This window comes from Homo sapiens, chromosome 6 (genome assembly GCF_000001405.40).
Source record: "Homo sapiens chromosome 6, GRCh38.p14 Primary Assembly".
Taxonomy (NCBI): domain Eukaryota; kingdom Metazoa; phylum Chordata; class Mammalia; order Primates; family Hominidae; genus Homo; species Homo sapiens.
Window position 1 is genome coordinate 27598914 of NC_000006.12, and position 18092 is coordinate 27617005.

General features: G+C 43.9%; 2 non-coding genes across 2 annotated transcripts, besides 2 other annotated features; both read right to left on the reverse strand.

Annotated features, from left to right (window-relative positions):
- Positions 1606 to 1778: a transcriptional cis regulatory region, noted in NCBI's record as "candidate enhancer chr6.1269 targeted for multiplex CRISPR interference". NCBI's record gives its function as "positively regulates expression of the H2BC11 gene with high confidence and the H2BC12 gene with lower confidence in K562 cells {active_cell/tissue: K562}" and the evidence as "EXISTENCE:mutant phenotype evidence [ECO:0000015][PMID:30612741]".
- Positions 2682 to 3182: an enhancer, noted in NCBI's record as "NANOG-H3K4me1 hESC enhancer chr6:27569374-27569874 (GRCh37/hg19 assembly coordinates)". NCBI's record gives its function as "activates a minimal SCP1, AML or CMV promoter by ChIP-STARR-seq in naive H9 embryonic stem cells {active_cell/tissue: H9 hESC(naive)}" and the evidence as "EXISTENCE:reporter gene assay evidence [ECO:0000049][PMID:30033119]".
- Positions 3656 to 3762, reverse strand: TRL-CAA3-1 (tRNA-Leu (anticodon CAA) 3-1). Its single transcript has 2 exons — positions 3725 to 3762; positions 3656 to 3701 (listed from the first exon to the last, which is right to left on the reverse strand). It is a non-coding gene; the product is annotated as a tRNA-Leu (tRNA).
- A 2962-nt stretch (positions 3763 to 6724) lies between these two features.
- TRL-CAA2-1 (tRNA-Leu (anticodon CAA) 2-1) lies at positions 6725 to 6832 on the reverse strand. Its single transcript has 2 exons — positions 6795 to 6832; positions 6725 to 6770 (listed from the first exon to the last, which is right to left on the reverse strand). It is a non-coding gene; the product is annotated as a tRNA-Leu (tRNA).
- Between the last annotated feature and the right edge of the window lie 11260 nt (positions 6833 to 18092).

Here is an 18092-nt window from a genome sequence, read left to right on the forward strand (position 1 = left end):
GCTCTGTGATGGTAGAAGTTAAGTTATAGAAAAGTGATAATAACGCAAGTGATTCATGTTTACATTAACCCTAAGATTTTACTCAGTTGAGATACAATTTTCAGCCTTTCTATTGTGTGTTGTTTGTTCTTCAAATTCATCTTTGAAGGGGTTTTCTCAGTTGACTTAGTAATTAGTGAGATATATGAAATCTTAAACACTACATTCATGTTATATTTGTATGAAAGTCAGGTTTTCGGCTTTTCATGTGACTGACAACACCAGTACATTTTGGGAGCTCAAAAGAGGACGAAAGAAGTCCTGACAGGGAAGTCAAATGCTGGATGACGAGCACATGATGGGGTGTGAGGTATAAGTTTGAAAGATTTTAATTGTCAGAGAAAAAGGTACTCCGAGCACATTTTCTGAAGTGTTTGGAAGGTAGGACACCTTGGTCCAGAAATGGCGATGGAGCAGAGAATTTGAGTTGTTGCAAATCGGTAAAAATGCCCGAGGCAGTAAATAGAAATATGAAGCTGAATGGTCTCTTGAGTAACTGCTCAAATTCTTTTTAATCCCCAAAAGATTTTTTAAGTTTTTTTTTTTTTTTTTTGAGACGTAGTCTTGCCCTGTGGCCCAGGCTGGAGTGCAATGGCGCGATCTCGGCTCACTGTAGCCTCTGCCTCCCGGGTTCCTGTGATTCTCCTGCCTCAGCCTCCCGAGTAGACTAGCTGGAATTACAGGCGCACGCCACCACACTTGGCTAATTTTCGTAATTTTGTAGAGACAGGGTTTCACCATGTTAACTAGGCTGGTCTCGAACTCTTGACCTCAGGTGATTCGCCAGCCTCAGCCCCCCAAAGTGCTGGGATTACAGGCGTGAGCCACCGCGCCCGGCCAATACCCAAAGAATTTTGAAGAATTTTCCCTACATTTGCAGATGAAGAAAAGTTTCACAAATGATCTAAATAATATAAAACACCACACATTTTACTTTCGGAAGTGATGGAGCTGGAATTTAAACACATATATCTGATTCAAGAGGCTTATGTTTGCTACTATTGCACATTGCCTTTAAAACAATGCTGTGTTTGGCCGGGCGCGGCGGCTCACGCCTGTAATCCCAGCATTTTGGATCCAGACGCGACGGGATCACTGGAGACCAGGCTGCTCAAGGTGGTGAATCCCCGTCGGGTTTTAGCTGGGCGTGGTGGTGGCACCCTGTAATCTCAGCTACTCGAGAGGCTGAGACAAGAGAATCACTTGAACCCTGGAGGCGGAGGTTGCAGTGAGCCGAGATCGCACCACTACCCTACAGCCTGAACGACAGAGCGACACTGTCTCAAAATAATAATAATAAACAACAGTTAAATATGAACAGGGAGGTGGGCTCCAGGCTGGCCTCCATCTCTGGCACACCCAGGAAGGGGGCCATGACTGTTGTAACACATCAGCCGCATTTGAGACTTCAAGAGCCCTTGGACCCTTCTTGCAGTTGAACTTATCTGGCTCAAGCAGGAACTAACACCACAAGGGACTTTCCACCCCAAGAAGGCAAGAGGAGTATAGTTTGCTCCAGTTTTGCTTGCCCCAAAAGTAACCTTTTGCTCATTATAATAGTAAAAAACATACCCTTGGGTGGAGATTTAAGATGTTAATGAGACATGCAATGGATGTACTAGCATGTATAGCCACAGCGCATGTGCACCCAGAGGATCACCCAAAACATGCTTACTAGTCACACCTCCTCCTGCCTGCCACTTTTTGAATAAACATATAAGACTCCCGGCCGGGTGCGGTGGCTCACGCCTGTAATCCCAGCACTTTGGGAGGCCGAGGCGGGCGGATCACAAGGCCAGGAATTGGAGACTAGCCTGGCCAAGATGGTGAAACCCCGTCTCTATTACAAATACAAAAATTAGCCGTGTGTGGTGGCGCTTTCCAGTAGTCCCAGCTATTCCGGAGGCTGAGGCAGGAGAATTGCTTGAGCCTGGCAGGCGGAGGTTACAGTGAGCCGAGATTGCACCACTGCACTCCAAATAAATAAATAAATAAAATAAAAATAAAATTAAAAAAGAATCCCAAAAAGGGGATTGCCCCAGTGCCAGCTGGCGCTGTCTCATCTTCAAGAAGCCTGCTCTGACTCAGCTTTCAGTGTACTTTCGTTTTTGCAATAAACTGCCTTAAGGTGTTATCTTCGTTGTTGTTTGTCTCTTGCTTAAATTCTTTTAACCAAAAAACAAGAACGGAGGACTTTGCACTTCCCGGTAACATTTGAAGTTCTCCATTTGAAGACCAAAAACAAAAACAACAGCAACAAAAAACAATTCACCCCTGATCGTTGGGTACATAAAATAGGATCTTGCAATAGCTGTTTGCCAGTACATTCGAGTATGTTTGGATTGTCTTCTGCGTGTATGTTCGTTGTTTCATTTCTGTAGGAAATGAAGTTTCTGAAAGCTGCTAATTTGGGGCAGTAATTGAAAACATTACTACGGAACAGAATGGAAAGTAAATATTGGATGTATGTCTCCCACCTTAACAAAACGAGGGATTTGTAAAAAAAAAAAAAAAAAAAAAAAAAAAAAAAAAAAATATATATATATATATATATATATATATTACTCGGTAGAGTTTTAAATCAAGACGAAGATCTCTCTGTTCATCCATCATGGTCTTATATTTCTCTTACATGCGTCCCGTAATAACCTACATCCTGTCCCTTCACTTCACATCCCTTCTCCCATCACCAAAGAAAGAATCAAAGGGGGTCTAGATAAGCGAGGGAGAGGAAGAACGGGGAAACATGGAAAGAAGAAAGGCGGGAGGGGGTGGGGGGAAGTGGTGGTGGTGGTTTGACCTTGAGGAAGGAAACCAGACGATTGTGCAATAATACTCCAGCCTATCGCATACCCTCGCAGAAACCATTAAGATGCTGAAAATAATTATACAGGGAATACGTAAGTCCCACTCACGGGCTTGTTAAGTTAAAATGTGGTCGGAAGCATTGGGGAAAGCTCCTGAAAGGTGGTAGTTGCAAAATGGTTTTGGTAAAATCTACATCTCAAGCCCTTTTCTCCTGTTTTTGTTTGTTTTAGACACGATCTCGCGCTGTCGCCCTGGCTGGAGTGCAGTTGCGCGATCATACAGCTCACTGAAGCTTCGCGCTCCTGGGCTCAAGTGATCAAGCCATTCTCCTACCCAGGTAGCTGGGACTACAGGCGCGCGCCACCAAGCACCGCTCATTTTTTCTATAGACGGGGTGGAACTCCTGGGCTCAAACAATCCTCCCCGCTTAGTCCCCTAATCCTAGTGGTTTTTTGCTTTTTTTTTTTTTTTTTTTTTTCCTCTTGGCTTTTTGAGAGGGAGTCTTGCTTGGTCGCCTGGGCTGGAGTGCAATGGCATGATCTCGGCTCACTGCAACCTCCGCCTCCCGGGTTTAAGCGATTCTCCTGCCTCAGCCTCTCAAGTAACTGGGATTACGAGCACCCACAACTACTCCCAGCTAATTCTTGTATTTTTAGTAGAAATGGGGTTTCGCCATGTTGGCCAGGCTGGTCTCGAACTCCTGACCTCAGGTGATCCACCTGTCTTGGCCTCCCAAAGTGCTGAGATTACAGGTGTAAACCACGGCACCCAGTCCCCCAATCCTAGGATTAAAGGGGCAAAATAGCTGTGTCAGAAGTGGGATTCGAACCCACGCCTCCATGCGGAGACCAGAAGCCCCAAACCTGGGAAGTAGCAACTTGAGTCTGGCGCCTTAGACCACTCGGCCATCCTGACACGCACTGTTACTCCTTAAGTTTCATTATGTAACTCGTAGTCAGCAGACGCTGACTCCGACAAAGGAGGAAAAGACCTCGGATGGGTGGCGTACGCTCCTGGTTTTCACAACGGTATTTATTATTTTGCCCGGTGCTATTCTAAATGATGCTAAACATAGCATCATCAAAATACCTTATGTTGCTATCTTTCGGGTTAATTCAGAAATGAAACAATAGGGAAAGTGGCAAATACTCAGAACAGTGCTTCCTAAGTTACCATCTGGCTCCGTAACAGTTTCCTGGCTAGAGGGACCCTCAAAGCTCAGTATTCAGCGTCCTAAGCAGGTGCTTTGTAGAGAGAAACAAAAGTCATGCAATATTTTTATTTTTACTTTTCCGGTTCCCCCACCTAGCCCAAAATACACTGTGAATACTTTGAAGCAGAAATAAAATCAGTAACAGAAAAATGAACTGCCCCAATTCAAAAGAATGGTTGGAAAAGATGAAGGTGGAGAATGGAGAAAAATAATTAATAATTTTATCATTTTAAGAGGTTCCTGGAGCAAGAAAGGGTGGTAGGTGCTTGTGAATGTGCAGAGGTGAGAAGAGTGAAAAAGTGGAATTAATCATGGAGGCGGGTAAGAAAGGAAGAAGAGGCGTCAGGTTTGGAGAGGTAAATTAATCAAACTATCCATGGCTCATTTTTGTTATCGGTCAATGAAATCTTTCTCTTTCTCTCTCTCTTTTTCCTTTACTGTTATGTTGTTTTTCTTTGTCATGCCCACCATACAGCCCTTTCCTCTCTCCCAACATACAGGCACCCTCTCTAAAATATTTAAAATTATTATTTTTGAGACAGAGTCTGACTCTGTCACCCAGGCTGGAGTGCAGTGGCGCGATCTCGGCTCGTTGCAGCCTCCACCTCTTGGGTTCAAGCGATTCTTGTGCCTCAGCCTCCCGAGTAGCTGGGACTACAGGCGCGCGCTACCATGCCTGGCTGATTTTTTTTGTATTTTTAGAAGAGACAGGGTTTCACCACGTTGGCCAGGCTGGTCTCGAACTCCTGACCTCAAGTGATCCGCCCGTCTAGGCCTCCCAAAGGGGCGGGACTACAGGCGTGAGCCACCGCGCCCGGCCTATTATTATTATTATTATTATTGTTTGAGATGGAGTTTTACTCTGTCTCCTATGCTGGAGCGCAGTGGCGCCATCTTGGCTCACTGCAACTTCTGCCTCCCAGGTTCAAGCGATTCTCCTGCCTCAGCCTTCAAGTAGTTGGGATTACAGGCGCGTCCCACCACGCCCAGCTAATTTTTGTGTTTTTGGTAGAGATGGGGTTTCGCTATATTGGCCAGGCTGGTCTCGAACTCCAGACCTCAAGTGATTCTCCCACCTCGGCCTCCCAAAGTGCTGGGATTACAGTCGTGAGCCACCGCGCCCGGACAAAATTATAATAAACTATCCTTGAAAAATACGTTGTTGATTTGCGTGATTTAAATCCTAACTTCTGGCCGGGCGTGGTGGCTCACGCCTGTAATCCCAGCACTTTGGGAGGCCAAGGCGGGCGGATCACGAGGTCAGGAGATCAAGACCATCCTGGCTAACACGGTGAAACCTGTCTCTACTAAAAATACAAAAAATTAGCCGGGCGTGATGGTGGGTGCTTGTAGTCCCAGCTACTCCGGAGGCTGAGGCAGGAGAATGGCGTGAACTCGTGAGGTGGAGGTTGCAGTGAGCCGAGATTGCGCCATGGGACTCCAGCCTGGGCAAGGGAGCAAGACTCCATCTCAAAAAAAAAAAAAAAAATAAATCCTAACTTCTTTTCTTTTACTCAACACGGTTTGAAAAATCCACTCATCCTGCTACATGTACACCTGCTTGGTCACTTGTGGCTGCTGCATAGTATGAAAACCATAGGCAGTATACCTGATGGACATCTAGGTTGCCTCTAACAATCTGCTACCTCAAAATGCTAGAAGGACTGTACTTGGCAAGGTCAATCATGGAGCTGAGCTGGAATTTCACTGAGGTGGATTCCTAGAAGTGGAATTGCTGGGTAATAATTTAAAAGTTATACAGGAGGATAACCCAGGTAATGTTAATATTGCAAAAAAAACCTAAGACCCTGATTTTCAGCCCAAGATTTCAATCTATGTATACTTCATATAATGCAATTTTTATCTTCAAAAACAAGAGACAGAAAGGATATCCAAATCAGATAATTCTGAGAAGCAATCTCAGAAGAAGCTTTAAACTTAGTTTCTTTTTAACAGGATGATTATTTCTTTTGTTATTGATGACCCAAACTTGTTTTCAGCAGTGTCATAATCTTGAGGGTTCTTTCCTCTTAGGTTTTAGAGGTAACCTAGGAAATCTTTTGGTAGAAGTTTGTAACAGATTATTTTACGTGTGCAGAAAAGCAGTGAAGATTTTAGTCACTGATCAGTTGACTGATCAGTTGAACGGCTAAGGAAAAGAACTGGGTGTTACCGTCGTTGCTAGAGCGGTGTGAGTTTACGACAGTTGCTGGTCAGATCAATGTCCGACTCCCCTTTCAGAGAGACAGACGATATACAGGAATCTGGAACATTCCTACAGGGCTCTCTGAGAACGGAGACCTTTTTCTCGTGCCTTTTTTCTTTTCTTTTCTTTTTTTGTTTGTTTAATTTTTATGTTAGCGGATTCACAGACCAATAGATGGAAATCCGCTGCTTACTTTCTCGCAGGAGAAAATGATCTCCAACAGTGCTGCGGGACTGCGTCCAAATGGCACTGAAAATATCCCAGGATTCTGTAAATGTGGGGTTTTCCTTTGTCGATTGGTTTGATGTAAGAGAGATGCCTCTCTCTTTGCGAGACCCTGTTTGGCGAACATCGGTTGGGGAGGGAAATCTTGGAGGTAGAAACGGCTGAACTATTGTGGCATTCCTTGGCGAAACTTTCGGTACAAATCTGGTAGGGAAAAACAAAAGATCAGGCTGTGTCAGAAGTGGGATTCGAACCCACGCCTCCATACGGAGACCAGAAGACCCGAACACAGGAAGCAGTAAGCTTGAGTCTGGCGCCTTAGACCACTCGGCCATCCTGACACTGTGACAAAAATCCTTGAAACTATACATGATGAGTAATCACGGCTTACGGCTCGCCTTCTGGCTGAATCCCAGCCGCAAAAGTTCTCTCTGGAATTTGCCCGACTAAACAGGAGCTCCGAACTCACTGATTACAGAATGGAAAGGTAGAAGAATACAACTGTTAGTGCGGAATTGAATAATTCTTACAGTACTGGAGACCAAGATGGGAATTGAGGAACAAGATATGAAGGAGACGTTTCCACGTCACCTCTCCCCTTCCTCCAGTAACTCCCCGCTCTCGGCCCTGCCCTCTCCCTCTGACCCAGGCCTCCTGACTCGCATAGACCTCTGCTTACGACCCTGACCCTGTGGGGTCACTTTGCTCTTTGTGACTTAAGTCCTGATGCAGTAGCTCCAACTTGATGCTGCCCCAGGGCCAGTGGGAACTTTTCTGGACAAGAGGAGGCCATAGCAACAGAGTGGGGCTGTTCTGTACATGGATTTCTAGGCATTCCCCCTTCTCCTCAGACTATCCGAACTGTGATTTCACCACCGGAAGTCATCCTTACATGTTTCATTTCGTTACACAGTTCAGTAAACATCACTGTCTTCTGCCCTGTAGGGTCGCCTATGCTCTATAGTGATAATCCTGTCTCTCCTCTCTCTAGAGCTCTCAGATGCTTTTCTGCAAATATTACCCACTGTGGGAGGCAACAGCTATTTCTTTTTTGAGACGAAGTCTCGCTCTTGTCCCCCAGTCTGGAGTGCAATGGCGCGATCTCGGCTCACTGCAACCTCCGCCTCCTGGGTTCAAGCGATTCTCCTGCCTCAGCCTCCCGAGTAGCTGGGATTACAGGTGCGTACCACCACGCCCAGCTAATTTTTTGTATTTTAAGTAGAGACGGGGTTTAAACATGTTGGCCAGGCTGGTCTCGAACTCCTGACCTCAGGTGATCCACCCGCCTTGGCCTGCCAAAGTGCTGGGATTACAGGGGTAAGCCGCCGCGCCCGGCCGGCAACAGTTATTTCTAAAGATAAGAGTGTACATTTTATGACTGAAAAATACGTTTCTAGGACTGTGAAAATGAAATCATCAAAAAAAAAAAAAAAAGAAAAGAAAGAAAAAGAAAAAGAACCTTGTTGCAATGGTTTTTCTAGGATTGAACTGTGAAAGAGAGAAACAATTTAAAATTCTAGTAGCAAGGAGTGCCACTGAGTTTCTATAATTAAACTATAAGGGCCTAAACGGATGGTACACAAATTTGAAGAATCTCGCTCTATTGCCCAGGCTGGAGTGCAGCGGCGCAACCTCGGCTCACCGCAACTTCCGCCTCCCAGGTTCAAGCAATTATCTTGCCTCAGCCTCCCGAGTAGCTGGGATTACAGGCGCCTGCCACCATGCCCTGCTAATTTTTGTATTTTTAGTAGAGATGGGGCTTCACCACGTTGGCCAGGCTGGTCTCAAGAGATCCGCCCACCTCGGCCTCCCAAAGTGCTGGGATTACAGGCGTGAGCCACCGCGCCTGGCCTGGAGAGTTATCATTTTTAAATTTGTAATTTCCTCATCTGTTACTCTAAAATTAAACGGGAAACATCTCTTTTTAAAATTGGATTACTGTTTGTAGATTTTAATCTTTTCAATGCAACTATACTTTTCCTATATACTAAGTGCAATTCAATCATATGCAAAATTGGCAGTATATATTTTAATATATGCACATGTTGAATATTTGCACTAGTAGTTCCCTATTCCTGTTGAAGTCTATGTATACATTTTCTGTGGAAATGAAAACCTCTAAATGTAGGTTAAAAATATTTGAGATAGACCGGGTGGGGTGGCTCACGCCTGTAATCCCAGCACTTTGGGAGGCCGAGGTGGGTGGATCACCTGAGGTCAGGAGTTCAAGACCAGCCTGGCCAACATGGTGAATCCCCATCTCTACTTAAAAAATACAAAAAATTAGCTGGGCATGGTGGTACGCACCTGTAATCCCAGCTACTCGGGAGGCTGAGACAGGAGAATCGCTTGAACCCAGGAGGCGGAGGTTGCAGTGAGCCAAGATCGTGCCATTGCACTCCAGACTGGGGAGCAAGAGCGAGACTTCGTGTCAAAAAAAAAAAAAAAAAAATTGGGATACCTGACAGTGAATAATATAAAAATGTAATGTGAATCTGAAATTGCAACTGAAATATGTCTTAATCCAATTGTCTTTTATACACTGCTTCTTGTGAGGCACAGTATAGTCAATGTTTCATGAACTTCTGGGCAGTATATTTTCTAAAAACCTCCTTAATATTTATTTTATTTTCTCTAATCTTTCTTTACAAGTTAGGAAGAAATTGAATCTGAAGTGATAGGGGCTTCTGAGTGGTTAGGGTTCAGCCATAAAAAAATACTTGAGACAGACGGTATTTTCCAAAGATGGCCACACCAACATATCTCATCACACGTTGTCTTATTTTAATACAATTTTGACACATTTCCTTGAGGGGTGGGGGTCTACATTCCCTTCCCTTGAATCTGGATAGGCCTGTAACCATGATGGAAGTGATACACCAAGACTTCCAATGTTAGGTCATAAAACGTGGTAGAGGCTTCCACCAGCTTTCTCTCAAGACATCTGCCCTCAGAACTCAGTCATGGCGCTCTGAGAAGGCCTAAACTAGGACATAGGAGCAGAACACATGGAGAAAAATTAAGGCCTCCGGTCCATAGCCAGCAGCAACTGCCAGGCATGTGAGTGAATGATTCTTCAGATTATTTCTAGCCACCAGCTTCCCTCCATTTTTTGGGACAGGGTCTTGCTCTGTCACCGAGGCTGGAGTGCAATGGTATGCACATGGCTCAGTGCAGCCTCACCCTCCTGGGCTCAAGCAGTTCTCCCACCTTAGTCTCCTGAGTAGCTGGAACTACAGGCATGCACCACCATGCCCAGCTAATTTTTAAAAAATTTTTGAAGAGATGGGGTTTTGCCATGTTGGCCAGGCTGGTCTTGAATTCTGGGCTTAAAGGATCCTTCCACCTTGGCCTCCCAAAGTGCTGGGATTACAAGTGTGAGCCACCATGCCCAGCCTTCAGCAACCAGCCTTATAGTCTTCCAGTTGAGTCCTAAGAAATCATGGAGCAGAGACAAGCTGTCCCCACTGTTTTCTGCTCACATTCCTGACCAACACATCTGTGAGAGAGAATAAATGATAATTGTTGTTTAAGTTAAGCCATTGCATTTTAGTATGATTTGTTATGTAACAATAGTTAGGTATGTATCAGTCTTGGTGCAATCAGGAGAGAGAAATTACACAGTTATTTGAACATAGAAGTGACCTCACCTGGGGCTGAAACAAAGCACTAAAAGAAGTGCCCTCTACCTCTCACCCCACCCCTGGCTAAGATCCAGACCTTGTTGGGGAGAGCATGGCTGTGACTCACGGAATAGCAGAGAAATGCTCATGGTGCTATGCCAGCAGAATTTGCTTGAAATCTGTCCTCTGGAATTTTTTGGAAATTAATCTTCAAGGGTTTCTTGAAAAGCTCTTCGTGGAGAGGTCTCTCACTGAGGGCACTCTACTACAAAACACTCAAAGAAGATGCCAGGGAAAATTAGTTGTTGCTGGGTGCTGCAGGAGACTGATGCAGGGGAAAGGCATGCGTGATGTAGGAGCTAGGCACTGGGGAAGCAGCAGGCCAAGTAATACATGGGAAGAAAGAAGCAAAACTCACTTTCTTCCGCAATGTCTCTCCACTGCCCTCTACTGACAAAGCTTCAATGCCAATTGGCAAAAGAAAACCAAGGACTCAAGATTCATTTCCACGAAGCAGGCAAAAAGGGTGAATTTGGAGCTGAGAGGCAATAAATCCTGAATGGGTACAAGCAAATGCAGATTTTCTTACTTAAAAATGGGATACTGCCATAATTAATAAATTCTGAACCATGTGACTTTGGGACTTGACAGCAAGTGGAAACTGAAAAGACCTTGAGGAGAATATGAGTAAAAACACCTGAAGACAACTGCTGCCTGTCACTAAGTCCCAAAGTCAGTGATGCTTAATGGAGAGTGTGGAAAATGTTACTAGAAGCTGGAAGAAACCGGACTTTTGTTATCTAGAGACAGAAAGTTTAGCAACACTGTTGTGAAAATGTGGAAAGTAGGCCGGACGCGGTGGCTCACACCTGTAATCCCAGCACTTTTGGAGGCCTAGGTGGGTGGATCACCTAAGGTCAGGAGTTTGAGACCAGCCTGGTTAACATGGTGAAACCCCGTCTCTACTAAAAATACAAAATTAGCTGGGTGTGGTGTCACATGCCTGTAATCCCAGCTACTCAGGAGGCTGAGGCAGGAGAATCGCTTGAACCTGATGGGGGTGAGGAGCGAGGTTGCAGTGAGCCAAGATCACACCATTGCACTCCAGCCTGGGCAACAAGAGTGAAACTCTGTCTCAAAAAAAGAAAAGAAAAGAAAGAAAATGTGGAAAGTAGAAAATATACCTAATGAATTTGAAAGAAAGAAAGAGTGGAAAGTAGAAAATATACCTAATGAATTAAAGAAAGAAAGAAAGAAAGAAAAAAGAAAAGAAAGAAAGAAAGAAAGAAAGAAAGAAAGAAAGAAAGAAAGAAAGAAAGAAAGAAAGAAAGAAAAAGAAAAAAGAAAGAAAGAGGCTGGGAGCTGTGGCTCACGCCTGTAGTCCCAGCACTTTGGGAGGTCAAAGTGGGCAGATCACGAGGTCAGGAGATCGAGACCATCCTGGCTAACATGGTGAAACCCCGTCTGTACTAAAAATACAAAAAAAAATTAGCCTGGCATGGTGGCGGGCACCTGTAGTCCCCGCTACTTGGGAGGCTGAGGCAGGAGAATGGCATGAACCCGGGAGGTGAAGCTTGCAGTGAGCCGAGATCAAGCCACTGCACTCCAGCCTAGGTGACAGAGTGAGACTCCATATCAAAAAAAAAAAAAAAAAAAAAGAAAGAAAGAAAGAAAATGTGGAAAGTAGAAAATATACCTAACGATTTTGCTTATTTAGCTAAGGTTATTTCCAGGCAATATATTGAAGATGCCACCTGGCTTTTTCTAGCTGCCTATAGTAAAATAAGAGAGCAGGGAGATAAACTAAAGAAAGAATACTTTAGGACTTGTTGGATATTCAAAAATAAAACTGCTTCTCATTACCAGCCTGTCAAGATGACAGATAATGCTGTAATTAAGAAAAGGCTTTGATTCTGCTGAGAGAAAGAGAGAAGAAAAGAAAAGGCTTCTGCCACGGCACATTAGCTGGAAAAAAAAAAAAAGTCTTCTAGGAAAACATCAGACCCAAGGCATTGTCAGCAAAACATGGTCTAAAGATGAAGCCAAGGGCATGACTTTATTGCTCTATTCTTTTGTTCTGTACCTTTCATTCTGTATGCACTGATAACTTTGAGTTCTTTGTTGTTCTTCTGGAGGATGATTAGAACTTCCATGTCTTTCCATATGTTTGTTGTTTATGTGATATAAGTGTGAGGAGTCGGAACCAACTACAGACTGCTTGGGCTAACAATTTTTCTCTATTCTGTACAAGTTGCCCCTTACATGCAAGCATGGCCTGGAGTGGGGTGGGATATAAATTTGGGGTTTAGATATCTACAGAAAGCAGAGAGCTAGGCATACTTTCCTCCACCATAATCATGTGCTGGAGGCTCCATCAGCCTCCTCTTTGGATGGTAAAGTACTTATTTCTCTTTATTTACCTAAGCAGGTTATAAAGACAGTCTCTTTCCCATACAAGTGAGCTTCATGGCCCAATTGCTCTTCTGTTCTGACTTTTCTTGGAACTGAGATAAAATGCCTCATTTATAGAATCCCTGACATTCTTGCCAATGAACTTCCCTAACCACTTTACTTTCCAAGCTCTTTGAACCCAGTTTCAGTTATTTTATTTATTTATTTATTTATTTATTTATTTATTTATTTAGAGACAGGGTCTCACTCTGTTGCCCAGGCTGGAGTACAGTGGCACAATCTCCACTCATTTCAACCTCTGCCTCCTGGGTTCAAGCAATTGTCCAGCCTCAACCTCTCGAGTAGCTGGGAGTACAGGCATGTGCCACCATGCTTGGCTAACTTTTGTATTTTTGTATTTTTTTGAGACAGAGTTTCACTCTTGTTGCCCAGGCTAGAGTGCAATGGTGAGATCTTGGCTCACTGCAACCTCTGCCTCCCGGGTTCAAGCGATTCTCCTTACAGGTGCCTGCCACTAAGCCTGGCTAATTTTTTGTATTTTTAGTAGAGACAGGGTTTCACCATAGTGGCCAGGCTGGTCTTGAACTCCTTGCCTCAAGTGATCCTCCCGCCTGGATCTCCCAAAGTGCTGCAATTACAGGTGTGAGCCACCACGCCTCACCCTAGTTTCAGTTATTTATGCCTGGCTAGAAATGCATCTATGTCTCCTCGGCTCCTGCGGCCCCCTTTTCATCCTACAAAGAAGGAGGCAAAAGTACTTGTTCCACAAAATTTTACCTATTAGGTATTTCAAAGGTCAACACAGTTAGTATTACAATAGCCTCATCAGGCATTAGCTGTAAGGACAAATGCTATGAATTTTAGTTGAGTCTTGTTTATCAGGCACTGGCCACCAAAATTTACAAAATCAGAATCTTCTTTTTGCTTTTTATGTAAACTCTTAGTCCAACAGAACCAGTTAGCTGTCTACTGATCCAAGGTAGTACTAATGTATGTAGATATTGTCAGTGGATACATTCTGTTTTGGCGTAAATAACTATGAGGCATAAGACTGTAAAGCACAGCCACTCAAAGCGTGGTCTGCAACCCAGTGCTAATTTATAAATGTTAGTTAATAGTCTGGTCTGTTTCAAGATATGGAGCTTATGCCAGAAGGCAAATAACTATATCACTAAGCATCTTTATTTCCATTGACTGATTATAGTAGGAATAGTTTCTTAGTGAAGGCAGCAGTGCATTTAATTATACTTTGGTGCAAGCTTGTCTTTTTGTAGACCAGTAACTTGTGTTCCCTGCACAGTTTTGCACACCACTAGTATTAGAGGGATATTCCAACACTTGTATGGAAGTCAACATTTTTTTTTTTTTTAGGACGGAGTCTCGCTCAGTTGCCAGGCTGAAGTACAGTGGCGAGATCGTGGCTCACTGCAGCCTCTGCCTCCCGGGTTCAAGCAATTCTCCTCCCTCAGCCTCCCGAGTGGCTAGGACTACAGGTGCATGCCACCACGCCCAGCTAATTTTTGTATTTTTAGTAGGGACAGGGTTTCACCATGTTGGCCAGGATGGTCTCCATCTCTTGACCTCGTGATCCACCCTCCTTGGCCTCCCAAAGTGCTGGGATTACAAGCGTGAGTCACTGTGCCTGTCCCAGCATATGTATTTTTAAAAGAGAATTCATTCTATTGGTATAATTAGAAAAATATTTATGAAATATTATTTATATAGTTCATGAAGTCTCCAAGAAAAACAAACTGGGATAACAAAGCCAGAAAATATCACTGCAGCCTTATCAGGCTATTTAGAATGAACCAAGCTATTGCTTAAAGCCAGAAGCTGCATCGCATTCTTCCCCAGGCCAGATGCCTCCTCACCCTTTTTTGACAGAAGGTGAGCCTTCTATATACTAGTCTCACTGAGATGCATCTATTGGGAAGAACCTAGACTTCCTCCGTCATAGCAGTTTATGGCAAACCTATTCATACTCTTCCTTGCAGTGGTGGTGCTCCCAATGTGAGAAAATAAAAAATATCTTGAGGTAAATATTATTTTTTATCAGCTACTCAGGCTTCAACTTATCCTATCATTCAAAGTTTATGAAGCATCGGTCGGGTGCGGTGGTTTACGCCTGTAATCCCAGCAATTTGGGAGGCTGAGGCGGGTAGATCACCTGACGTCAGGAGCTCGAGACAGCCTGGCCAACATGACGAAACCCTGTCTCTACTAAAAATACAAAAATTAGCTGGGCATGGTGGTGGGCACCTGTAATCCCAGCTACACTGGAGGCTGAGGCAAGAGAACCGCTTGAATCCGGGAGGCAAAGGTTGCAGTGGGCAGAGATCGCCCCACTGCATTCCAGCCTGGGCAACAGAGCAAGATTCTGTCTCAAAAAAAAAAAAAAAAAAAAAGTACAGAAATTCATCACCCAACAAACTCCTGGAAGATATCACTATAATTATAAGAACAATCAGATAATGCAGATTATTCTGCATTTGCACTTCCAGATCCATTATCTGCCTTTCTTCTCCCTGGAAAGAAATCACTTGGCCCCTGGCTCCCGTTTGGATTCAGCCAATGGAAGACAGCAGCAGGAGATAAGAGGGCACAAAGAAGAGAGGCAGATGCATGTACAGTATTTCTCCTACTTGCTCCCTGACAGCCTGTGTTCCTCCCATGGGCACAGCTCCTAGTGGGTGGTTCCTCTCCCGTTGCTGGAACTCTTGCCAAATTCTGGCAATTCTGCCCCTTCTCTTTTCCCTTAATGCCTAGGAATAGTGAAGATTCCCACTGTTCTGATCCCTGAAGATTTCCTCACATCTTCTTGGTTCCCTTAATTCTATAAAGAAGCCCTCCAATAATCTTTCCTCAATCCACCTGATGAATATAACCAGATTTACCCAAGCCCACTTCTGATCCTTACTCTCCTGACCGCAGTGTGGGGAGGCGCTTCAAAGATGGAGCCTAGGCCGGGCGCGGTGGCTCACGCCTGTAATCCCAGCACTTTGGAAGGCCGAGGCGGGCGGATCACGAGATCAGGAGATCGAGATCATCCTGGCTAACACAGTGAAACCCTGTCTCTACTAAAAAATACAAAAAATTAGAGGGGCGTGGTGGCGAGCGCCTATAGTCCCAGCTACTCGGGAGGCTGAGGCAGGGGAATGGCGTGAACCCGGGAGGCGGAGCTTGCAGTGAGCTGAGATCGCGCCGCTGTACTCCAGCCTGGACGACAGAGCGAGACTCCGTCTCAAAAAAAAAAAAAAAAAAAAGAAAGATGGAGTCTATAAGAGCATCAAGGTCCACGGCCTGAATAGTAACTTCCCTGCATTTGTGATTTTCCCTCTTAAAGATAACTCTGAAATTAGAAATCAATATAACGGGTGCTCTGAAAACATTCATTAAAACATTCTAATTAGGCAAAGGTATATACTACAATAGAAGTAGGATTTTTTTTTTTTAAGATGGAGTTTCACTCTTGTCACCCAGACTGGAGTGCAATGGTGTAATCTCAGCTCACTGCAACCTCTGCCTCCCAGGTTCAAGCAATTCTGTCACAGCCTGCTGAGTAGCTAGGATTACAGGAGCACGCCACCGCGTCCGGCTAATTTTTTGTATTTTTTTTTTTTTTTTTTTTTTTGAGACGGAGTCTCGCTCTGTCCCCAGGCTGGAGTGCAGTGGCAATCTCAGCTCACTGCAACCTCCGCCTCCCGAGTTCAAGCGATTCTCCTGCCTCAGTCTCCCGAGTAGCCGGGATTACAGGCACGCGCCACCATACCCAGCTAATTTTTGTATTTTAGTAGAGACGAGGTTTCACCATGTTGGCCAGGATGGTCTCCATCTCTTGACCTCGTGATCCGCTCGCCTCGGCCTCCCAAAGTGCTAGGATTACAGGCATGAGCCACCACCCGGCCATTTTTTGTATTTTCAGTAGAGACAGGGTTTCACCATGTTGGCCAGGCTGGTCTCGAACTCCTGACCTCAGGTGATCCTCCCGCCTTGGCCTCCCAAAGTGTTGGGGTTATAAGCGTGAGCCACTGCTTCCTACCGGAAGTAGAAATTAATAACAATAAAAACAATAAAGTTAATTGTTTAATTTAGTGTCACAGAGTCAAAGGGACAGATCCTACATTTACTAAATCCTGAATTATTCAGCTCCTCAAATCACATTTATTTGAAGGTTAAACCAAATACAAAGAAATATTACTTTTGCATATTTTTTTATAATTTAGAAAGTATTGCAATATAATCATTTGACTTATAGATAAATTCAAAAGTCAACCAATAGCCATCAGTATGCTGATTTATTTCCTTCTAAGATTTTGCTCTGCAAATACACTGAGAATGAAATTGTGATCATTCATAAAGTTTTGTCCTCTGCTTTGTTCACTCAATGGTAGTTCATGAACTTTCTCTGTATTATTAAATGCCGGTTTCTTCTAAAAACCTGTAAGAGCTGCATGATATTCCATATGGATATGGTATGGTAAGATAAGCTTGCACCAAAGTATAATTAAATGCACTGCTGCCTTTACTGAGGAACTCTTCCTACAATCAGTGAGTCAATGGAACTAAAGATGATTAGTGATATAGTTGATTTGCCTTCTGGCACAAGCTCCATATACAATATATACCTATACACATACACATATATGTACCTACATATACCTATATATAGTATATAGTATATAATGTGGTGTTCATAAGTTGAAAAGTGGTTCATTACCTATTTTCTAAAATCCAGATTCACAGCCAGAGACTTGAGCCTGGGAGATGGCAGTGGAGTCAGGGCATCTTTGGGAATGTGGCTAACAAATTTGGTAGAGGAAATGTGTATAGGAACAGGCTACCTATCCACTCCTAATTCCCGCCCCTTCAGCATTCTCCCTTTCATCTTTATTATTTTTCCTTTATGTCTCTGTTTTCTCACCACTGTCCCCTTCCCTCCACCCCCTAACTTATGAGTCTTCTCTAATTCTGAAGGAGCCCAAGTTGAGAAAAGCTCTGTAAAAGAGGCCATACCTAATTTTATCAAGAACTGAAGGTCTGTTTTATCTTTTGGCTCCAGACACCCTCCATGTAAGTTCCCTGGTGCAAGCCTCTGCTGACTTGTGGAAAATGAAGTGAGAAGTAAGAGATATTAAGGCTGGTACTTTTCCAGAATTTCAGTCCTTGCAGGCCCTCGCGTAGCTGCCAAAACACTTGCGATATAATAGTGTGTTTGCAGGTTAACTATTGTGTCACAAGTGCCTTATGTGGTAGAGATTTGAATGCATGCCCTGCCTACTCTTAACTACTGTGTACTCCTTGAGATAAAGAAGTGACATCCACAGTACCTTTCCCATGATTGCTCATGCTTTACTGAATACTGTATTAAATGAATACCTTTAAGAATCAGAAGTCTTAATCTCAGCAGACAAGGAAAGAAAAAGAGCCTACTGAGATACCTTAAGAGCATTAAAAAAACACACCAAAAAAAAAATTAGGTTCAAGCGATTCCTCTGAACATAATAGACCTGTGTTTCACTGAGGTTATACTTTTCTTTAGGCACTAGAAATCAGGAGGCGAACACTG